Raw genomic sequence first — 24,909 nt, 5'->3', positions numbered from 1 at the left:
TTTTGAGACAAGGTCTTACTCTATCACACAGGCTGGAGTGCAATGGCATGATTATGACTTAACCATAGCCTCGACTTCCCAGGCTAAAGTGATCCTCCCACCTCAGCCTTCTGAATAGCTGAGACTCCAGGCCTACTCCACCATTCCCAGACAATTTTTAAATTTTTTGTGAAGACGAGGTCTTGCTATGTTGCCCAGGTTGGTCTCAAACTCCTGGGCTGAAGTAATCCTCCCACTTTGGCCTCCCAAACTGTTGGGATTATAGTGGGATTACAGGCATGAGCCACCATGCCTGGCCTTCTTCTGTTGTTTTTAATTGCCTCTGATTCTGTGATATTTGAGAAACAGTGGCAATTTTTGAGGAAGAGGCTCTGTGGCTAGCAATCATCCCAGCATGTACCACTAGAGCCTAATATTACACTACCTCTGAAAAACAGTGTCCTGCAGAAGCAAATTTTGAGCATTTATCTGGATAGTCAAGAATCATAGCCCAAGTATCTTCTCTGCTTCTACATCTATTTTATTCAACCAGTAAACAGGTATGGAGCACTTCTTATATGAAAGACACTGTTCCAGGTGCTCAAGGTAGAACACAAATGCCTTCATGAGACTAAAAAGCTAATAGGGAAACATAGTAACAAAAAGGAGGGAAGGGCCTGAAGTTGCTGTTAGGTGTGACTCTGTAGCTGGCCATCCATTATGGGGACACTATGCTTTTCTAATTGCAGATAATTTCCATGAAAACCTAAAATATTTTCTGACTGATTTTGATAGTAAATATACCTCACAGTTTTCTGAAATCAGTTTTACTTTTTCTTTTATTGTAAGATTTCAGATTGAAGATCGGGAGTAGGAACTTCTGAAACTTTCTAACATATATTTAGATTTTTCTTTTTTATAAAAGTAAAACATTCTTGAAACACAATCAGGGAACATGAAGAACATAAAGTGTTCCCTTTCCTGCCTTGCTATATCATACTATTCAGGGAGCAATCAGTATTAACAGTCTGATATGTGTACTTCATTATTTTTATTCTTTCCATATACAACTATATATATGTACACTCACAGGTGTTTGTCTATTTGTAAAAAAAAAAAAAAAAACAGTATCACATGATTAGCGTTTTTCTGCAACCTGCTTGCTTCACAGTATGTATCATGAGGATTGTTTTTATTAGTTTAAATATAGGTCTGGCTCTTTAATGACTGGAATTTTGCTGTATGGCTGATAAGACTGAACTGCAATGAAAATAATCTTTGCCTGTGTCTTTTAGTACTTCTTTAGAAATGGATCTTTCTAATGTAATATAAGAATTTGTATATTTGAAACTCAGATAATTATCACCTTGCAAAAAAGTTGTACTAATTTATCTTTTATAGTGGGCATTCTTGGTGTGCCACCCAGACCCCATACTGGGTTGATGCACCCATTCCCAGCTGCTGACAGCGTTGGCTGATAATGGCTCACAGCTGCCCGCTTCTCCACAGACTTCCTCTTTAGATGACAGGTGTTGCCTTGCCCAGAAGTTACCTGTCCGCCACAGTCCCTCCCTGACTCACCCCTTCTTGGTCAGCCCGCTGCCAGTGATTTGATCCTGGGGCACAGAAAGCTAGGGACTCTTGTCTCAAGGTAGAACAAACTCTGTAGGTGGGATTCATGCTGTAGAACTCCCCCATGGATCAGGCTGAAACCAGACTCCAGATGATTCTATATCCTTAACTAGCTCTTTCCCCTGCCTTATCCCATTTCCTTCACTTCCTTTCTCCTGTGAGTTTTCCCTCAGTGAATCACATGCATCCAAATCCCAAAACACTCTCCCACCAGCAGTGTATTGGAATGCCCACTTCAAACCCCTTTTCTGAACTAGATGTTATCAGTACTTTTATATTTGCCAATCTGGTAAATGAAAAATGGTGGCACAAAATTTTACATTTATTAGTTACATTAAGATTCTAATATATGTTTATTTATCATTTATTTCTTCTGTTAATTCTGTTCATATTCTTTGCCTGTATTTCTCTTGGGCTGTTTTACCCCCTTACTGAAGCTCTGTATATTATGGATAATAACTTTGTTACTTATGCATATTTTCTCCGAGTCAGTTGTCTTTTTTTTTTTTTAACTTTATGTCAGTTGCTCTACCGAGAGTTATGTTTTGAAAGGCCTACCCAACTTTAAAATTATGTACATGATTCTCATATTTATTTTTTCTGGTATTTTCATAGTCTCTTTTTTGTTTTTGAAAAGTCATAAGATATGGATAAGGTGACAATATTCTTATACTTGGACTTTCTCTTCACATCTTTAGCTATGGCTTTTAAATTCAGACAGTTTGGTGATTGAATCTTTGAGAAATTCCAAATATATCAAAAAATTCCCCTTGTTGGAAAACACATTCAAAGCCGATTCTAGTTCTGCCTGGAGTGCTGTCAAGGTCCTCTACCAGCCATGCATCAAAAGCAGGAATGAAAAGTAAGTTGTGCATTTGTTTTCTCTTTCCACATTATGTTTTAGCTTTTGTTGTCATGTTGGTGTTAAGAAATTAATGAATTAAATGCCACTATACCATTTCCCTACTTGAAGCTTCTAGGAGCCAATACTGCTAAATATTATATGTTTAAAATAGGTTGAATTATTACAGATGATTCATGTTAATATGCAGAAAGCTTGCTTTTACCAAAAATTATTGTTTTTTTCTTGTAATCTAAGCTGTCTGTACATATGGCTGCAGTGCTAAATCAGACTTCAACAGTGATGAATATTTACCAATAAGCACTTTCCAGGCATCAGGATACAATAATGAACAAACCCCAGCCCCTACCTCTTAGCATTGTTGTTCTAATAGGGGGAAGGCAGACCATAAACAAAACAGATTCTTACGTCTCTTACTATGTGTCAGGCACTCATCTAAGAACTCGTAGCTCATTTAAGCCTAACAACAACCTGTGTGGTATGTACCATTATCATCCCCACTTTAAAGATAAGCACACTAAGACACTGGTAGTAAATCACTCTAGTGAAAAATGAAGCAAGGTAAGGTAGTTGGCGAGGGGTAGGATGGGAGTAGGATGTCATTTTATATTGCAAAGTCAGGGAAGATTCTTTAGATAAGGTGATATTTAAGCAGGTAACTTGAAGGAAGTGAAGTGGTGAGCCATATCTGATGGAAGATCATTCCCAGAAAAGGAAACAGCAGGTTATTTTAATTGTAACAGAATCAAAGTTTGTACTTGTCCTGTACTCTTAGATGGGTTTGATCAAATTTATCCTAAGAACGGAAGGGTCTTAGTCTTTTTCTGGAAAGTAAATAAGACATTGAAAAAATTAATTAGGTTTCTTATGCAAGTAGTACCAGTCATAAAATATTCAAACACTAAGAGATATATACAAGGTAAAATTATATCCCGCTCCAGAAGTAAAACGTTTGTTGTCTACTCTTCCACTTCCTTTTCTGTTCATTTTGCACCTAAACATGTGTATTTTTTACACTTAAAAAAAGCCCATGTCTTAGAGATTCTTTCCATTGTGAGTGCTTGACATTTTATGAAATGGAGGTACTATAAATTATTTAGCCAGTTTTCTTTTAATGGATATTTGGTTTATTACTTTTTTGCTGTTATAATTAGTGTTGTGATCTTGTATGTTTGTTTTCTGATTATAAGTTTTTTATATTAGAGGAATTTCTAGAGGTACAATTGTTGAGTCAAAGGGTATGGACATTTAAAATTTTGAGAGGTAATATCAAAGTATTTTGTAAAAAGGCATCATGAATTTATATTCCCACCTGAAGTTTTTATAAATGTCCATTACCCTGCACTCTCACCCAAATTTCCATTTAGATTTTTGCCTATCTGATGTGATTCTAAAGGAAACAGGTTTACTTGACACTATCCTTATATTTTATTGAGACATGTTCAATGGATGCATCTCAGTTTTATGCTTTTGAGACTCTTTTTGAGGGCTTGGGTTTTTTTTTGTGTGTGTGCCCTTATGCATAGTCAACTAGTAAGCTGTACATTGATTATATTCTCTTTTGATGTATGTGTTTGTGTGTATCTTTATATATTTAGGTTTATATCATCAAATTTATTAAAACCCTTTATATTCATCTTTTCTGTTTATTAAAATGTGGACTTTTGTGACAGGTATGTTGAATCTTATATTATGATTATGTAAGTAATTTTCTTCTGTTTTGATACTAGTTTTCACATTATGTATTTTAAAGCTGTGTTATTAGAGGAATAAAAGTTTGTGGCATGACAATGAATTGAATATATTATCAATAGGAGATTTTGCTCTTCTTCAATTTAATGCTAGTTTTTATTTCATTCTAATTTGCTGTGATGGTTAATACTAAGCATCAACTTGATTAGATTGAAGGATACAAAGTATTGGTCCTGGGTGTGTCTATGAGGGTGTTGCCAAAGGAGATTAACATTTGAGTCAGTGGGCTGGGAAAGGCAGACCCACCCTTAATCTGGGTGGGCACCATCTAATCAGCTGCCAGCATGGCTGGAATATAAAGCAGGCAGAAAAACATGAAAAGACTAGATTGGCTTAGCCTCCCAGCCTACATCTTTCTCCAGTGCTGGATGCTTCTTGCCCTTGAACATTGGACTCCAAGTTCTTCAGCTTTGGGATTTGGACTGGCTTCCTTGCTCCTCAGCTTATAGATGGCCTATTGTGGGACCTTGAGATTGTGTGAGTTAATATGATCTTTTATATTATACATATCTTTATATATATGAAGATTTATATATTTATATATGAAGATTTATATATGGCTTTATATATATGAAGATTTATATGCATATATATAAAGATTTACATATATATATGTCTATATATCCTATTAGTTCCGTCCCTCTAGAGAGCCCTGACTAATACAGATTTTGGTACCAGGAGTGGTTCTAGAGGAACAGAATATTAAGGATGGAGTTCTTTTGTTGGTTTTGAGGTTTCTGGAGTTGGCTGTTTAATATGATTACATCCAAAAATGCTAAGGACTCTACTTCTGATAGCATGGAGAATGCTGATAGTCCTTGGCATGAACTGTATAGAGAGTTATGCAAAATACATACATTTGACACTCCTGATTCACCGCTCATGAGAGGCAAGGAGTTTAGTAACTCTATACATAATGCCTTTGGCTGTATTAAGGAACATAATGAAGTTGGTTGGTTGCTCCTAAGTTCACTGGACAAAGTGATGAAAGAAAATGATGAACTCAGGGATTCTAACTCCCAGCTTCAGAAACAGATACTAAGCCTCAAATCTGCTAAGATGGCCTTGAGTGAGAATCTTATCTCCTGTAGAGAAAGAGTTGAAATTGTGGAAAATCAGACAAAAGCTTTTATCATGTGAGTGGCTGACCTGCAATGAAAAGTGTATGCACAGCCTCACCAGGCATCTACTGTTAAAGTGAAGGGATTAATTGGGAAAAAATGGGACCCTGCAACTTGGAATGGGGACGTGTGGGAGGACCCTGATGAAGCTGGGGACACTGAGCTTGTAAACTCCAATGAAACTTTCTTGCCAGAAGAAACAGCTTCCCTACCCCCAGTAGTGGCAATGTCCCCTCCCCAATCCATGCTGTCATCAACCTTTCCACCTTTGTCTGAGAAGATACACCCTTTACTGCCTGAGGCAACAGGCCTCCCCTTATGGCCTCCCCTGAGGCAGTTGCCAGGCAAGATAATGTTGATTCTTCTCAGGAGCCACCCCCAATACCTCTGTTTGCTTCTAGACCTATAACTAGACTAAAGTCCTGGCAGGCCCCTAAAGGTGAGGTTGAGAGTGTGACCTATGAGGAGGTGCGTTACACTCGAAAATAACTGCTTGAGTTTTCTAATGTATATAAACAGAAATCTGGAAAACAGGCATGGGAATGGATACTAAGGGTGTGGGATAATGGTGGAAGGAACATAGAGTTGGATCAGCCTGAATTTATTGATTTGGGCCCACTAAGTAGGGACTCTCCTTTTAATGTTGCAGTTTGGGGAGTTACAAAAGGTTCTAATAGTTTATTTGCTTGGTTAGCTGAAATATGGATTAAAAATGGCCCACTGTGAGTGAGCTGGAAATACCTGATCTCTCTTGGTTTAATGTAGAGGAAGGGATCCAAAGGCTTAGGGAGACTGGGATGGTGGAGTGGATTAGTCTCTCTAGATCTACTCATCCCAGCTGGGAGGTTCCAGAAGATATACCCTTGACCAATGCTTTGTGAAGTAGATTTGTGAAGGCAGCACCTTCATCTTTGAAGAGCCCCGTAATTGCCCTTCTCTGTATATCAGATCTAACAGTGGGAACTGCAGTCACTCAACTACAAAATTTAAATGCAATTGGAATAATTGTATCCCGAGGTGGCAGTGGCCAAGTTGTGGCACTCAGCTGTCAAAGGCAAGGTGGGCATACTACCGTAATGGACAGAAGAGGCAAAGCAGCAATCAGAATAATCTGACTCGTGTCCAGCTCTGGCATTAGCTAATTACGATGTTCCTAGAAGTGATAGGAAGCCTACTGCATTCCTACTTAATTTATATAAGCAGAGAACTTCCAGACTAATTTGAATTATAAAAGCAGAGAATCACAGTCCCTCAATCAATTTCCAGACTTGAGCCAGTTTACAGACCCAGAACCCCTTGAATGAAGGGGAGTCCGGGTCCCCTTGAGGAAGGACCCCTCTACACTACTGACAATTTATGCTGTGAATCTTTGTCCCATCCTTCCCCAAGGAGAAATCCAGCCTTTTACCAGGCTAACTGTTCACTGGGGATAGGGAAATGATCAGACATTTCAGAGACTACTGGACACTGGCTCTGAGCTGACGCTGATTCCAGGGGACCCAAAACATCATTGTGGTCCTCAAGTTAAAATAGGGGTTTATGGAGGTCAGGTAATTGATGGAGTTTTAGCTCAGGTCTGACTTACAGTGGGTCCATTGGGTCCCTAGACTCATCCTGTGGTCATTTCCCTAGTGCCAGAATGCATAATTGGCATAGACATACTTAACAACTGGCAGAACCCCCACATTGGCTCCCTGACTGTAGGGCAAGGGTCATAATGGTGGGAAAGGCCAAATGGAAACCATTAGAGCTGACTCTACCTAGAAAAATAGTAAATCAAAACTAATATTGCATCCCTGGAGGGACTGCTGAAATTAGTGCCACCATCAAGGACTTGAAAGATGCAGGGTTGGTGATTCCTACCACATCCCTGTTCAACTCTCTTATTTGGCCTGTGCAGAAGACAGATGGATCTTAGAGAACGACAGTGGATTATTGTAAGTTTAACAAAGTGGTGACTCCAATTGCAACTGCAGTACCAGATGTGGTTTCATTGCTTGAGCAAATTAACACATCTCCTGGTACTTGGTATGCAGTCATTGATTTGGCAAATGCCTTTTTCTCCACTCCTGTCCATAAGTCCCACCAGAAGCAATTTGCCTTCAGCTGGCAAGGCCAGCAATATACCTTTATTTTCCTACCTCAGGGGTATATCAACTCTCCGTCTTTGTGTCATAATCCTATTTGGAGAGACCCTGATCACTTCCCTTCTGCAAGATATCACACTGGTCTGTTACATTGAGGACATTATGCTGATTGAATCCAGTAATCAAGAAGTAGCAAACACACTGGACTTATTGGTGAGAGATTTGCCTGCCAGAGGATGGGAAATAAATCCGATTAAAATTCAGGGGACTTACACCTCAGTAAAATTTCCAGGGGTCCAGTGGTGTGGGGCCTGTTGAGATATTCCTTCTAAGGTGAAGGAAAAGTTGCTGCATTTCGCCCCTCCTACAACCAAGAAAGAGGCACAACGCCTGGTAGGCCTAGTAAGATTTTGGAGGCAACACATCCCTCATTTGGGTGTGTTACTCTGGCCCATTTATTGAGTTACCCAAAAGGCTGTCAGTTTTGGGTGGAGTCCAGAACAGGAGAAGGCTCTGCAACAGGTCCAGGCTGCTATGCAAGCTGCTCTGCCACTTGGGCCATGTAACCCAGCAGATCCAATGGTGCTAGAGATGTCATTGGCAGTTAGGGATGCTGTTGGAGCCTTTGGCAGGCCCTCGTAAGGGGGCCTCTGCTGTTAGCGGAGGCATCAGGATTTTGGAGTAAGGCCCTGCCATCTTCTGCAGATAACTGTTCTCCTTTTGAGAAACAGGTCTTAGCCTGTTACTGGGCTTTGGTGAAAACTGGATATTTGACTATGAATCATCAAGTCACAATGTGACCTGAACTGACTATCATGAACTGGGTGCTTTTTGACCCATCTAACCATAAAGTGGTCCTGCACAGCAGCATTCTGTCATCAAATGGAAGTGGTATATGCATGATTGGGCTCGAGCAGGTCCTGAAGGCACAAGTAAGTTACATGAGGAAGTGGCTCAAATGCCCATGGTCTCCATTCCTACCACCCTGCCTTCTCTTCCCCAGCCTACACCAGTGGCCTCATGGGGAGTTCCCTATGATCAGTTGACAGAGGAAGAGAAGACTAGGGCCTAGTTCACAAATGGTTCTGCACGATATGCGGGTACCACCTGAAAGTGGACAGCTACAGCACTACAACCCCTTTCTAGGACATCCTTGAATGACAGCAATGAAGGGAACTTTTCCCAGTGGGCAGAACTTGGAGCAGTACACCTTGGATGGAAGGAGAAATGGCCAGATGTGCAATTATATACTGATGCATGGGCTGTAGCCAATGGTTTGACATGGTCAGACATTTGGAAGAAGCATGATTGGAAAACTGGTGACAAAGAAATTAGGGGATGAGGTATGTGGATGACCTCTCTGAGTGGTCAAAAACTGTGAAGATATTTGTATCCCATGTGAGAGCTTACCAACGAGTGACCTCAGCAGAGAAGGATTTTAATAATCAAGTGGATAGGACAACTCATTCTCAGCCTCTTTCCCCAGCCACCCCTGTCATTGCCCAATAGGTCCATGAAGAAAGTGCCCATGGTGGCAGGGATGGACCTTATGCACGGGCTCAGCAACATGGACTTTCACTCACCAAGGCTGACCTGGCTATAGCCACTGCTGAACGCGCAATTTGCCAGCAGCAGAGACCAACACTGAGCCCTTGATATGGCACCATTTTTTGGGGTGATCAGCCAGCTGTTTGGTGTCAGGTTGATTATATTGGACCTCTTCCATCATGGAAAGGGCAGAGGTTTGTCCTCAGTGGAACAGACACTTTGGATATGGATTTGCCTATCCTACACACAGTGCTTCTGCAAGACTCCCATCCGTGGACTCACGGAATGCCTTATCCACCATCATGGTATTCCACACAGCATTGCCTCTGACCAAGGCACTCACTTTATGGCTAAAGAAGTGCAGCAGTGGGCTCATGCTCATGAAACTCACTGATCTTACTGTGTTCCCTATCATCCTGAAGCATAGAACAGTGGAATGGCCTTTTGAAGTCATAATTACAACAGCAAGTAGGTAACAATACTTTGCAGGGCTGGGGCAAAGTTCTCCAGAAGGCCGTGTATGCTCTGAATCAGCATCCAATATATGGTAGTGTTTCTCCCATAGCTAGGATTCACGGGTCCAGGAATTGAGGGGTGGAAGTGGAAGTGGCACCATTCACCATCACCCCTAGTGATCCATCCACTAGCAAAATTTTTGCTTCCTCTTCCCACAACATTGCTTTCCACTGGACTAGAGGTCTTAGTTCCAGTGGGAGCAACGCTGCCACGAGGAGACAAAACAACGATTCCATTAAACTGGAAGTTAAGATTGCCACTTGGACACTTTGGACTCCTCCTACCTTTAAGTCAACAGGCTAAGAAGGGAGTAACAGTGTTGGCCGGGGTGATTGACCTGGACTGTCAAGATGAAATCAGTCTACTACTCCACAATGGAAGTAAGGAAGAGTATGCATGAAATACAGGAGATCCATTAGGGCATCTCTTAGTATTACCTTGCCCTGTGATTAAGGTCAATGGGAAACTACAACAGCTCAATTCAGGCAGGACTAGAAATGACCCAGACCCTTCAGGAATGAAGGTTTGGTTCATTCTACCAGGAAAAAAACCACAACCTGCTGAGGTGCTTGCTGAAGGCAAAGGGAATACAGGCTGGGTAGTAGAAGAAGGTAGTCATCAATACCAGCTACGACCAGGTGACCAGTTGCAGAAACAAGGAATGTAAGTGTCGTGAGTATTTCCTTCTCCTTTTGTTAAAAACACGTTTGTGCATGTATACACTTGTACTAAGAAAATATCTTCATCTTATTTCCTTTTTCCTTTATCATGTGAGATAAAGTTTATTGACTTCATATCAGCTTTTAAGTATTGTTAACTTTATGGAATAGAGGGTTGGGGATTGGTGCATTTCCGTTGTATGAAGGATAGTTGTATTATGTTAGGCGTAATTATGACCTTATTATTGTTTTTATTTGAAGATTATGTATGATCTCAGGAGATGTGTATGGGTTCAAGTTGACAAGGGGTCGACTTGTGATGGTTAATACTAAGTATAAACTTGACTGGATGCAAAGTATTGACTCTGGGTGTGTCGATGAGGGTGTTGCCAAAGGAGATTAACATTTGAGTCAGTGGGCTGGGAAAGGCAGATCTACCCTTAATCTGGGTGGGCACCATCTAATCAGCTGCCAGCATGGCTGGAATATAAAGCAGACAGAAAAAAACATGAAAAGACTAGGCTGGCTTTGCCTCCCAGCCTACATCCTTCTCCTATGCTGGATGCTTCTTGCCCTTGAACATTGGACTCCAATTCTTCAGCTTTGGGACTAGCTTCCTTGCTCCTCAGCTTACAGATGGCCTGTTGTGGGACCTTTTGATCATGTGAGTTAATACTCCTCAATAAACTCCCCTTTATATGTATATATCTGTCCTATTAGTTCCATCCCTCTAGAGAACCCTTACTAATACATTTGCCTGATGGTTAATATTGCTATATTTACTTTTTAAAAAATTGTTCATTTGTTCTTTTTATGTTTATTTTCGCCTGTCTTGTGTCATTTAATCAAGTGTATATTGCATTAAGATATACCTTATGAACTGCGTACAGCTGGATAGTTTAAAACTCCAGTAGGTGAGTCCTTCTATTTTAATAGTGAATTTAATTATTCACATTTATTGTGATTTTGATGAATTTGGACATAGTTTGCTGTCTTTTAGATTGGTTGCCCTCTCTGTGTCATTTCTTTCTTCCAATGATTTGGAAGCAAAAAATAACTTTTTTATTTATTTCAAAATGATTATTCGTGATTAACCTTAAAATTTTAATACACATTTAAATTTACTATTTTTTTAACTGTCAATATTTAGATTTAATTAGTATTCATACTGTTCACTGGAACAAGGAAAGACTTGGAGATTCATGTTTGTCTTCTTGCTCCCTCCCCAACCTCCTCCTATGTTGGATCCTTTGTGATTCTGATGATATGATGGTTATATTTCTTCTTAAAGAAATATTAAGCTGAAGCCCTCCTCCATTTGTCTACTCTCATGCATCATGGCCATGAATGTTTTGTATCTTTATTATAAATACTTCCTTAAAAAAATAGGGTATTATTTGATATTTTCTCTTTTTGTGATTTTTTTCGCTCAGTATTCTTTGTTTGATTTTTTAATGTGATGAAGTATACTCTTTAATACTTCTTTTAACCTTGTACTATAGTCAATCTGTGAATATCTGAAAATTTATTATACCTATTCTGTCTCTCCAAAAACCTTTAGGATTTTCTTTTTATCCTTGGCTAAGATTTTATACAGATGTGTTTAAATGTGAGCGCTCACTCAAAATTTTCTCTTATGTCATAATCTCTTTTTATAGATATAATATTCACTCAATCTCTGTGAGAATAGTATTTCTACTTAAAGTCTTGTTTTTTCTCTATTAATGTTTTCCTTGGGTGTTGGCTCTTCTGTTTTTGAAAACAAAGGTTAAGTTTGGTACCTCTCTTTCATGGTGGTGCATTTCCCAAATATTTGATTATTTCACTGGAATTCCTGCCCTGAAATGTAAACTTCATGTGAACCAGGGCCATCTCTGTCTTGCTCAGCTAGATGAGTACTTATAAAAGTGCTCAAAGCATACAATTAATGTTTATGCAGTGGTGCATGGTTTTCTGCTTATCTTTGTAATATTTGGTAATCATTATTTACCTATTGGTAACTGTAGGTTCTTGTTACCATAGCCTGCCTGTATGGATTAGTGAAAGATAACTCACAGGGTATACTAGCATGGATGTACCAGTTTGTCTTTTGACAACTTTCAAGTATTAAGAAAAAGGAAGTGGTTATTTTGCTGATTTTTATATTCATTATATGTAGAATCTTTACCTTTCCTTTCTTGAAGAGTATTATAAGAATTTGATGCACCTGCCTTATTACTTCACTCATTCTTAACACATTCCTCTGACACTGGAAATATTGTGACTATAGTCATATGTGTTCTCTTGTATTCAATTAGTAGGTTTTTTTAAACTCCAAATGTCTTAGGGACAAGTTGACATCTAATAAATTAGTTTGGTTACTTTAGTTTGCCTGTTGCATGTAACTACTTTTGTTTTATTTTTCCTCCTGCTGTTGTTTGACTCTCTGCCCCCGAGGTAGGAAGAGAAGTAGGTAAACATGCTGTGAGTTATTTACTTTGTCATTTAAGGACATTAGTGTCTTTCTTTTTGGGTGTGACTGAACAAGCTGTAGACTTCCTGGCATATTTTTGGCACATGGGGTGGTGTATTAACTATTTTAGTCCAATTGGCTAGAACTTTTTTCTAATGGAAGTGTGGATTGCCAGATGGTAGTCTAAAAGAGGAAAATAGAAAATGTAACTATGGTTTTATTTCCTTGAGCATACACAAAAAAGTGGCATGTAATATTTTTAGAGTGTTCCTTCTTTCTAGCAATAGATACACATCTCTCTCAACACTTTGAAGTGTATTGTTTTTCATCCTCCCCTCCTGCCCACTTCAGCCAGCGTTTCACATCTTGGTGAGCAACAGCGGTTTTTTTTACTGCTCCACAATTTTGTATTGGGGAAATAATTTATTTCATATATCACATTTTTTAGTTTGTTTATCAGCATTTAGATGCTAAATATTAACTTTTTGGCTTTAGACTCTATATTAACTTCTGTAGTTTAAGTCTGCCAATTCATCAGTTCACCTGTGGCCTCATGTGTAGACTGGGAGTAATTTAGCCTCACAGGAGACATTTGGCAATGTCTGGAGACATTTTTAGTTGTCACAACTTGGGGAACTACTGGCGTCTAGTAAATAGGGATGCTCTTAAGCATCCTACAGTACACAACAAAGAATTTTTCAACCCCAAATGCCAATAGTGCTAAATTTGAGAAACCCTAATCAAGACATCTGAAATCAAACTGTGTCTGCCTTTTCCCTCAGTGTGTTATATAACCCACGATTTTCTTGAAATTGTATTTAGGCCAGCAAATAAGAAAATCTTACTATCACATGAGCCAAAATTTCTTTTTTCTTATATTTTTTACTTTTTTTGAGACAGGGTCTCACTTTGTCACCCAGGCTGGAGTGTAGTGGGTCAATCTCGGCTCACTGCAGCCTCAATCTTCTGGGCTCAAGTGATCCTCCCACCTCAGCCTCCCAGGTAGCTGGGATTACAGGTGTACATCACCATACCTAGCTACTTTTTGTATATTTTGTAGAGATGGGGTTTTGCCATGTTGCACAGACTTATCTCGAACTGCTGGGCTCAAGTGATTCACCCACCTCAACATCCCAAAATGTTGGGATTACAGGCATGAGCCACCGTACCCGGTGAGCCAAAATTTCTATTAAATATAATCCACTTTAACTTTGTTAGGATAAACAGAATAAGTGACAAAAAATATAAATGTTTATGTCATACTTCTCTTTTTCTGTTTTGGAAATATGAAGAGTAGATTTGTTTTTATTAAATACTGGTGAAGAATTTCATAGTTATCAAGCTCCTTGTTTTTGTATTTTTAGGAGAAAAAGACTTAGGAGAATACAATTAGTAGGGAGTAAAGAAGTGTTTTTTATTTAAGCTAAAATTGAATTCTCTTCACTTTGTAAGTTACATGAGTCCTAGTATTGGTATTGGTAGTGGTTCTTCCCACCTTTTTGAAAGGATAAAATATCTAACTTAGGAATGTGGAAATTTGAGCTGAGAAGAACAATTCTACATTTGACTATTATTAATATTTTCTCACAAAATATATTGAAGGAAAAATGATGATGAAATGTTATCTTCAGCTTTAGTAGAATATAGAGACTAAACTATAAACTAATTTGGTTTCTTTATTTTGCTACATATTGCTAAATATTGCCTCTAAAATAGATGTGTTGTTTTAGCTTTAGACAGTTTAAAAAATGTTATTTTTTCCCAATGAAATAAAAACAAATGTAACCACACCCATATATATTTCATAGTCCTAGAATAGTATTAGTAGTTGTCTTTACTTGTAAACTAGTATTTCCTTATCTTTTTTTCTTTATTTCAGCAGGAAAATTGAAACTCTACTTAATTTTAAAAATTATGTTTAAAAACACATAACACAAAATTTACCATTTTAACCATTTTTAAGTGTATATTTTGGTAGCGTTAAGTATATTCTATTGTGAAACAGATCTCCAAAACATTTTTATCTTGCAAATCTGAAACTCCATACTCATTAAACCACAACCCTCTTTCCCACTCACCCCAGCCTCTGGTAACCACCATTCTACTTACTACTTCTATGAATTTGACTATATTATAGTTGACTAGAGCTGCCATAGCAAAATACCACAGACTAGATGCCTTAAACAACAGACATTTATTTTTTTCTGGAGGCTAAAAGTCTAATTTTAGAGGGTAAAAGTCCAAGATCAAGGGTTGGTTTCTCGTGAGGGCTGTCTTCCTGGCTTGTAAATGGCTGTTTTCTCTCTGTGTCCTTGCATGGCCTTTCCTCCTGCACATGTCAAAGGAGAGAGAGATCTCCTGTGTCTCTTCCTCTTCTGGTAAGGACAGCAGCCCTATCAGATTAGGGACCCATCTTTATGACCTCATTTAATCTTAATGACCTCCTATCTCCAAATACAGGGACATTGGGGTCCTATCTCCAAATACAGGAAAAGCAGGGTCCTATCTCCAAATACAAGGACATTGGGGTTAGGGCTTCAACTTCTTAATTTGAAGGGACACAATTCAGTCCATAACATTGGCTACTTTTTTTTTTTTGTTTGTTTGTTTTTTGAAACAGAGTCTCACTCTGTCACTCAGGCTGGAGTGCAGTGGTGCTATCTCTGCTCACTGCAACCTCTGCCTCCCAAGTTCAAGTGGTTCTCCTGCCTCAGCCTCCCAAGTAGCTGGGATTACAGGCGTGAGCCATCATGCCTGGCTAATTTTTGTATTTTTAGTAGAGACGGGGTTTCACCGTGTTGGCCAGGCTGGTCTCAAACTCCTGGCCTCAAGTGATACACCCATCTCAGCCTCCCAACGTACTGGGATTATAGGTGTGAGCCACCGTGCCTGGCCAACATTGACTACTTTTTGATATCTTGTGTAAGTAGAATCACAGTGTTTGTCTTCTTGTGACTAGCTTATTTCATTTAGCATGATGTCCTCAAGTTTTATTCACATAGTAGTATGTGACAGGATTTCCATCCTTTTAAAGGCTGAATATCATTCCATGGTATGTATATATCACATTTTGTTTATCTTTTCGTCTGTCAGTGGACATTTCGGTTGCTTCTACCTCTTGGCTATTTTGCATAGTGCTGCTATGAACATTGGTGTGCAAATATCTCTTTGAGGCCCTGTTTGCAATTCTTTTTTTTTTCTTTTAATTAAAAAAAAAAATAGAGACCGCACCTTACTATGTTGCCCAGGCTGGTCTTAAACCCCTAGTCTCAAGCAATCCTCCAGCCTCAGCCTTCCAAAATGCTGAGATTATGTGCCTGAGCCACCATGCTCAGTCTCAATTCTTTTGGATATATATCTAGAAGTGGGTTTGCTGGATTATATGATAGTTCTATTTTTAATTATTTGAGGAACCTTCATACCGTCTTTTATAGCAGTTGCAGCATTTTACAATCCTATCAAAAGTACACAAGCAGTCCAGTTTCTCCACATCCTTGCTAGCGCTTGTTATTCTGTTTTTTTTTTTAATAATAGCCGTCATAATGGATGTGAGGTGATATCATTGTGGTTTAATTTGCATTTTTCTGCTGATTAGTGATATCGAGTATCCTTTCGTGTTCGTTGGTTATTTGTATATCATTTTTGGAGAAATCCCTGTTTAAGTCCTTTGCCCCTTTTTAATCAATTCCTTTTAATTTGTTATTGAGTTGTAGGAATGCTTTATATTCTGGATAATAATCCCTTATGAGATGTATGATTTGCAAATATGTTCTCTCATTCTGGAGTTTGCTTTTTCACTTTGTTCATTGTGTCTTTTGATGCACAAAGGTTTTTAAGTGTGAGATAGTCCCATTTCTCTATTTTTGCTTTTGTTGCCTGTGCTTTTAGTGTCATTTCCAAGATATCATTGCCAAACTCTGCTTAATTCTGATACTCTGCACCTGATGTGGCAGAGACTGTCATTGCCTGAAATAAATTTGGAAATTAAATTAGGTGGTTTTGAGAAGATTTAGAGGAAATTGTCTTTTTGGTTGATTAAAAACAAAAGAAACAAAGGTTAATTATACTGATTTTATATCCAGCAGAGTATCTAAGACTATTATTTAATAGTTGTGTAACCTGCTAAAACAATTTATGCTAACTTATTTGAATAGTGTGTGAATATGATGCTAGAGTAAATGAATGAATGAATTGACAAGTGTCACCAAATCCTAAAGAACATTATTATTAAACAAAATTATTAAACAATCTCAAGTAAGTGTTTATTCCACTTCCCACTTAGGAGTCACAAGGTGACATTGTCAGTGCATCCCAATTGGGTACACTGACTTTGCAGTGTGGGATATACTTAAACTTCAGAAATGAATGTTCAAGTCTTACATTTTACAATTGAGAAATCTGAGTACAAAAAAGAGAAATAACTTCAGTTAGTCAGTATGTTACTGACAAAACCAGAATTAGAGTTGGGTTGTCCTGATTTCAAATTCAGTGCTTTTCATTGTATCGTGTAGTCTCTCACCATAAAATATTAGGAGATGTGAAAAGGCCACTGTGAATGTATATTTTTCCTCAAGAGAAATTCTCCTGGTAGTTTAGAATGTGTCAGACTTTTGATTACTCCCCAAAATGTATTGTTTGCTATACTATATTCAGTGAAATTTATGCCTCTTAATCTGTAACATCAGTAGCAGAAACTTCTGATTTACAGTATGTTCATATCTGATGTTATAGATCAGAATTTATGGGTACAAATGTGGTTTTCTTTAGAAGTCCAATGCCTTAGCTCCTTAGAACAAGAATCCATTGAATGGAAATTACTCTAAAGATACAGAGAAGTAGTTAGGTGCCTATGGAAAAATATAAATGCATCATTTGAAATCACTTTTCACATATTTGTCTGTTAGTATTATCACCAAAATGTGTACATCTAGGGACCATTCATTATTAAGCAAATTAAGCACATACTTCTTTCATTTGTAAATGGCAAATATCTCCTTTAGACTTGTAAGTACAGTCATGAACTGCACAGTGACATTGCAATGACAGACTGCATATATGGCAGTGGTCCCATAAAATTATAATACTCTATCTTTCCTGTACCTTTTCTGTGTTTAGATATGTTTAGATACATAGATAATTACCATTGTGTTACCATTGCCTACAGTATTCAATGCAGTAATGTGCGCTATGGGTCTGTAGCCTAGGAATAATAGACTGTATCACTTAGGTTTGTCTGAGTACACTCCATGATGTTCACACAAAGACAAAATTGCCTAATAATGCATTTCTCAGGATGTATGCACGTTGTTAAGCGACACATGACTGTACAATGGCCTAAACTAAAACTTGTTTTATTTGAAATTCGTATACTATCCATGAATCCAGTAGTAATCATAAAAGAAGAGACAGAAAATAAGACGTATAATAAAAGTCAGCTTTTTTTTTTACTAGAAATAACAGGTGTCCTATGAAAAGCAGTTATTCTCTTCAGATTGCTTCCTTGAGGAGAATCTGGTTTCCTTCTTTTGATGAAAAAATATGAGACAAGTATAATCATGATCTGTGAGAATACAAATGGCTTGGGGACTGGGATTGGGTAGAGGATGGAAGGGAAATCTGTAAATAAAATTGTTTCTTCTCTGTTCTATGTTTTCTAATCGTATGTGAGATAGTTTTATAAGTCAGACCTGAAGTAGTTGTCTTAACCTTTCATATGAGAAAGGTCTAAGTTTTTCTTTTTTCTCTTTTTTATTACCTCCTGCTATACTTGCTACTGTATTAATAAGTGATTTTGAAGCAGGAGAACAAAGATTTTGCCAAACAGGAACTTACAGTCACGTTAAGGCAGCATGGTAAATACACCCCCAGAATTTATTCAAAAAACCAAAATCTATATAAATGCTAATGTCTTAGTCTGTTGTGCCGCTATAACAAAATACCTGAGACTAGATAATTTATAAACAACAGAAATGTATTTATCTGGATTCTGGAGGCTGGGAAGTCTAAGATCAAAGTGCCAGCAGGTCTGATGTTTGGTGAGGGCCCCATGTCTGCTTCCAAGATGGTGCCTTGTTGCTATATCCTTACAGGATAGAAGGGATGGAAGGCCAAAAGGGCCCAGCTAGCCCCCACCAGCCTTTTGTTTGTTTGTTTGTGACGGAGTCTCACTCTGTCGCCCAGGCTGGAGTGCAATGGCGCAATCTCGGCTCACCGCAACGTCTGCCTCCTGTGTTCAAGTGATTCTCCTGCCTCAGCCTCCCAAGTAGCTGGGATTACAGGTGCCCGCTACCACGCCCAGCTAATTGTTGTATTTTTAGTAGAGACGAGGTTTCATCAGGTTGGCCAGGTTGGTCTCGAACTTCTGACCTCAGGTGATCCACCCACCTTGGCCTCCCAAAGTGCTGGGATTACAGGGGTGAGCCAACACGCTTGGCCCACTAGCCCTTTTAAAAGGTGCTAATCTCATCCATGAGGGCAGAGCCATCATGGTCTAATCACCTCTCAAAAGCCCTACCTCTAAATACTGTTGCATTGGAAATTAAGTTTCAAAATGACTTTTGGAGAGGCCACAAACATTCAAACCACAGCATCTACGGAACAGGTTTTCATGGAGAACAGTATTCTTTTGCTGAATTAAAGAAAATAGAACAAAAGGTAGAAAGTACTGTCCCCCACTCCACCCCTATTCCAGGAAAAACTGAAAAGAGCTGGGCAGCAAAAGCATCCACATGTTCAAATAGTGGATTCTAGCTAATGGGAGAGTATGTGGCTTCCAGAGGGCTTGGGAAGGTGGGGTGGGGGTCAGACACCTACTGTAGAGATGCTCACATTTATTTCTTTCAAATATTAGTCTCTACTCAAGAGGGTTTTTTGGAAGAAAGGGTTCCACAGCTGAAAAAAAAAATTAAGAATCACTGTGATATGAGGTGATATTTAAGAATCTCTGTGATACGCGTTTCACCAGATTGTGCTTGAATCCACTGGGTTATGGCAAAGTTATGACTTGGAAAGCAACTACACTGAATTTCTAATTGTTAGAATGGTCTTCCTTTTATTTGAGAGAAATCTGCTTCCTAGACACTCTTCCAGAGCTGCTATTTTTTGAATATGATAGCTCTTCAGAGATTCAGGTAACCTGCTACTCTCTCCAGGCCAAACATTCTCAGATGGAGTGGCTTCAAGCTTCCCTTTCCTTGTAGTCCTTCCGCTTTCCTGTTACCATCTTGATTGCCTGTAAGAAGATATTGCCCAGCATCCTGTTAATTTTGTGTAGTAAGAGGTGAACTGGAGAGAAGCTAAAGCTAAGGCTACATCCTACAAGGCTGCTGTAGGAAATTTATATATAAAGGGATAAGGCATTTTCAATGAAACTAGACAAAAGAAGCTGAATTGTAAGAATCCATAGAATCTGGACAACTAATAGAAAAGTTTTCAACTTCAGGTATTAGAGAAGGTCATTGATTCGTTCAGCAAATACTTATTAAATGTGTACTCTTGTGCTAGGTATTAGGAATTTAATATTGAGCTAAAAGAGACCTTGTATCACAGACTTATTACAATCTAGCAGGAAAAATAAGTAAATGTAAAACTGCAAACTGATCAGTGCTATGATGAAGAGATAAATGGTGCTATGAGAACAAATCAGAGAGAGACCAACTGGGTCAGGATAGGAGTCCATGAAGAACTGATGCTTGGGCCGGGCTCAGTGGCTCACGCCTGTAATTCCAGCACTTTGGGAAGCCAACGCTGGCAGATCACCTGAGGTAGGGAGTTCGAGACCAGCCTGACCAACATGGAGAAACCCCATCTCTACTAAAAATGCAAGATTAGCCAGGTGTGGTGGCACATGCCTGTAATTCTAGCTACTCAGGAGGCTGAGGCAGGAGAAACACTTGAACCCAGGAGGCGGAGGTTGCGGTAAGCCGAGAGCGCCCCATTGCACTTCAGTCTGGGCAACAAGAGCGAGACTCCGTCTCAAAAAAAAAAAAAAAAGAATTGATGCTTGACTGCTGCCTGAAGGAGGAGAAGGAGTTTACTGTGAAGAGCTTCTAGGCAAGGGGTGGGAGGCAGTACAGTGAGTACAAGGGATGGGAAGGTCAGGGTGGCTGTAATAGAGAGAGAGAGAAACAGGCATAGAGTAGGGAAGAGACAGACCAACTCAGGGACCCAAAGGGACTTGAAAGAATTTAGTCTTTATCCTAAGAACAATAAGAACCGATTGAACATTTTATCCAGAGAGAAGCAAGAGGTGGTTTAATTTAAGCTTCAGGAAGATTGTTCTGGCAACCATCTAGAGAATAGTTGGATTTGGGTAGATCAGATAGGAAGCTATTGCAGTAGCCTAAGAGAAATTATTTTAGTTTGGACCTGGGTGATGGTAGCTGCAATAGATTTGAGAGATACTTAGTAAGTAAAATTGCATACTTGATGATTGATTGGATTTGAGGAATGGGCCACTATATACTGGGATAGATAATATTGGAAGAAGATAAAGTTTTGGGAGAAGATAATTGGTTCACTTTTATACATGTTGAGTTTGAGGTGCATTTGAGTTGTTCAAGAGAGAATAGCAAATAGAATGTTAATATATAGACCTGGGGTTCAAATAAAAGGTTGGGGCTGGATTTGTAAATTTGTGAGTCATCTGCATATTGGTTGTAATTGAAGCCAATGGCATGGGTAAGATTATTTAGGAAGAAAGAATGGAAGACAGAGCAGTGAAGAACTCCCACATTTATAGGCTAATTGAAGGAGGGTGAGTCTGGAAAGGAGATAGAGGAGTGGTGAGACAGGAGGAAAACAACAGTATTGCTTTTTAGAGGCTAAGGGAGGAAACTGCTTTAAGAAGGAGAAAGTAGTCAAACGCTGCTGAGAGAGAGGTCAGGTAAGATGTTGAATGTAAAACATGCATTGGATGTAGATTACAAAGGTTATTAGTGACTTTTACAGGAATTATCTTGGGTGCCTGGGATGAGAGCTGGGGTGGAATGGGTGAGCAGTGAATGAGAGGTGATATGACAAACAGTAAGTGTGGACCACTGTTTCAGGAAGTTTGGCTGTGAACGGCAGAACAGAGAGGAAGGGGATGGGAAGCTGACTTAAGGTAGGCAGGTGGGGTTAGACTGACTTGAGTCCATTTAAAAGCCAACAGGGGGCTGGGTGCAGTGGCTCATGCCTATAATCCCAGCACTTTGGGAGGCTGAGGTGGGTGGATCACTTGAGGTCAGGAGTTCAAGACCAGCCTGGCCAACATGGTGAAACCCCGTCTCTACTAAAAATCCAAAAATTAGCTGGGTGTGGTGGTGTGCACCTATAGTCCCAGCTACTTGGGAGGCTAAGACAGGAGAACCACTTGAACCCAAGAGGCAGAGGTTGCCATGAGCCTAGATCGCGCCACTGCACTCCAGCCTGGATGACAGAGTGAGCCTGTCTCAAAAAATATAAAAGCCAACAGGGAAGGTCCTGTTGAGAAGAGGTTGATTACACATGAGAAAGAAGGTATGACTGATGAGGCAGGATTCCAGGACAAGATGGAAAGGTCTGGTATCTCAAGCTCTGGTGGACCGACCAGCCTCAGGAGCAGGATAGCTCTCCTTTTGTAACAGGACAGAAGGAGATCAGTATTGGAGTGGCTGGAAAAGATTTGCATATAGGTTTTGAGAAGATGAAATACTTGTCCTCTGATGGCTTCTGTTTTATCTGTAAGATAGGAGTAAAGAGGGAGGAGGCACAAGAGGGAGAAGGGATAACGGTAGTGGACGGTTGCAGATTTGAGGAGAATGGAGAAGATTTAAAATGGTCATTTGGAAAGGAGATGAGTGAGATGACCAGAAATGTGTGGACTTGGTAGGCATAGTTCATTGCCCATTTGAGGTTCATGATCACAAATTCATAGTGATATTAACCTTTCTTATGCTGTGACATTTTCCAGCTTATCATCTACTAAGCACAAGCACAGAGAAAGCGGACAGTTGAGTTCATCAGGGTTAAAGTTTGGTTGTCCCCATGCAAAGAGTACTGTGTAACTCTTGTATTAAGTATTATTATAGTGATGGACTGTAGAATCTGTGTGGCCTGTTTTAATGACTTAAGAGTTGGAAAGAGGCTATAGTTTTTAATCACTTACTGAAACTTAGATCTGGTAGAAGAGAAAGCTTTTAATTATATATTTGAAGCTTCTTAAAAAATTTTTTTAAGTACCAAAGATTATTGATGGGAAATGATCCCCTTAAAATATATTAAGAAAAACTCTAATCCCTTAATGGAGTTTTAGCACTTATTCAGACACATGCCCTGAGTTAAATTTCCTTCCAGATTTTCCATATGATTTTTGTAATCCCATTTTGTAAGGAAATGTATTGGCCTAATGTGAGATGATAAGTATAAAGAAAAAGGTGCGTAATCTTTAGTGTCTGCCAGAATTTTAATTTGACATTTATTATGTAAAGGAACTGCAGTGTTCCTGTGGTTCTGCTTTTATTTTAGACATTAAGGTTGAAAAATGATCTTTGGATCCTAAAGTCAGCTGGAGTAGAGGGAAGAAGTCAGTTTCTTTCATTATCACTTGGGGACTTTTTATCCAGATGGCTGTAAGAGCCTTCCAGGTGCATGTACCTCTATTGCAAAGCAAAATAAACGGAACATTTAATTATTGGAGTTCCCACTGTTAAGTCTAGCTGCTGCTGTAACATCCATTGTGGGAGGAAGTGCTTGTCCCAGGTACCTATGCAAGGCTTCAGGCCAAAGGCCTCTAGCAATAGCACTGTCCTCCATGGGACACCCTCTGCCTCACTGCACAATATCAACTGCCAGAACCTTACTCTTGTCATTTTCTCTCCATGTCAGAAAAAATTCCCGTACTTAAAAAAAAATCAATCATTCCTAATTCCCCAGGTAAATGGTGAAGGCATTCTCCTTGTAAAATAATTTCAAATCACAGGGTCAAGTTCAAATCCGTGGACTACCATTTCTAATTTCACTCCCGTCTGTATAACCACTGTAACCAGGTTGCTGTGTATGTTTCCAGACCTTTACCTACGCATATACATATATTTATATATGCCCCTGGAAGTATATACAAAAACTATTGTGTTTTCCTTTTTCTTTTCTTTTCTTTTTTAAGACAGAGTCTTGCTGTGTCGCCCAGGCTGGAATGCAGTGGCACCATCTCGGCTCACTGCAAGCCCCGCCTCCTGGGTTCACACCATTCTCCTGCCTCAGCCTCCCAAGTAGCTGGGACTACAGGCACCCGCCACCATGCCTGGCTAATTTTTTGTATTTTTAGTAGAGACGGGGTTTCACCATGTTAGCCAGGCCGGTCTCGATCTCCTGACCTTGTGATCCTCCCGCCTCTGCCTCCCAAAATGCTGGGATTACAGGCGTGAGCCACTGCACCCGGGCACGTTTTTCTTTTTTTTAACATAAATAATGTCATATACCATAGTGTCCTTCTGCAATTTATTTTTCACCCCATTATGTCTTCTCAGTACATATAGATGTATCTCATTCTTTAAACCTATATTCCATAATGTATTTCATGATTTATTTCGTCATTCTATTAAAATTATTTTAAATTTTTCTTTGATACAATTCTGCAGTGAAGACCTTTGCACATGCCTTCTTGTGCACCTCTGCAACAATTTCTTTAAAGTGGATGGAAAGAAGTGGTGGTGTTGTTCTTGGGGTATATTTATTTTACATCTTTAAAAACTTTACTTTGGAGTAATTTTAGAATTACTAAAATTTAGAAGTAATTTAGAAGAGTTGCAAAGTTAGTACAGATTGTTCCTGTGTACCCCTAACCCATTTTCAGTTTCCCCTAATGTAAGATGATAATATTATCATGACATCTTTGTCAAAACTAAGAAACCAACATTGGTGCACTGCTATTAACTATGTTTCAGACTATATTCACATTTCACCAGGTCTTCCAGGAATGTCCTTTTTTCTATTCCAGGATCCAATTCATGATACCACATTGCATTAATTTGTCATATCTCCTTTGTCTTCTCTAGACTATGATAGTTTTTCCTTGTTTTTCATAACCTTGACAGTTTTGAGGAGTATTGGTTAGGCATTTTGTAGTATATCCCTTCATGCCTGATGTTTTTCTCATGATTAGACTGGGTTGTGGGTTTGGAGAAAATAGCATCACATCATATTAGGGTATCCACCTTCCATCACCGGCAATGTTAGTCTTGATTACTTAGCCAAGGTAGTGTTGGTCAGGTTTTTCCACCAAGCTACTCTTTTTCCCTTCTCATGCTGTATTCTTTGGAATTGAGTCACTAAATCCAGCCCA

General features: G+C 39.1%; 1 protein-coding gene across 15 annotated transcripts in view, besides 1 other annotated feature; it reads left to right on the top strand.

Moving 5' to 3' along the window:
- Nucleotides 1–24,909, top strand: part of UBE3D (ubiquitin protein ligase E3D) — a 185,040-nt gene that overhangs the window by 44,396 nt on the left and 115,735 nt on the right. For 14 of the 15 annotated variants that reach the window (NR_146809.2, NR_146808.2, NR_146807.2 and 11 more), the window contains one exon: nt 2,310–2,473. Coding sequence is in view for 12 of the 15 variants with exons in the window: in XM_017011458.3 (XP_016866947.1) it covers nt 2,310–2,473 (164 nt within the window). In the remaining 3 variants the exon portion in view is untranslated. Of the gene's footprint in view, nt 1–2,309; nt 4,269–24,909 lie in introns of those variants that run through there. The other variant, NM_001410933.1, reaches the window with a different exon arrangement.
- Nucleotides 20,203–20,394: a silencer, noted in NCBI's record as "fragment chr6:83710771-83710962 (GRCh37/hg19 assembly coordinates)". NCBI's record gives its function as "represses an EF-1alpha promoter that drives an FKBP-Casp9 reporter gene in an ReSE screen in K562 erythroleukemia cells {active_cell/tissue: K562}" and the evidence as "EXISTENCE:reporter gene assay evidence [ECO:0000049][PMID:32094911]".

Source organism: Homo sapiens, chromosome 6 (genome assembly GCF_000001405.40).
Source record: "Homo sapiens chromosome 6, GRCh38.p14 Primary Assembly".
In the NCBI taxonomy this organism is placed as follows: domain Eukaryota; kingdom Metazoa; phylum Chordata; class Mammalia; order Primates; family Hominidae; genus Homo; species Homo sapiens.
Note: the sequence above shows the minus strand (reverse complement) of the source record. Positions and strands in the feature narration are given on the sequence as shown.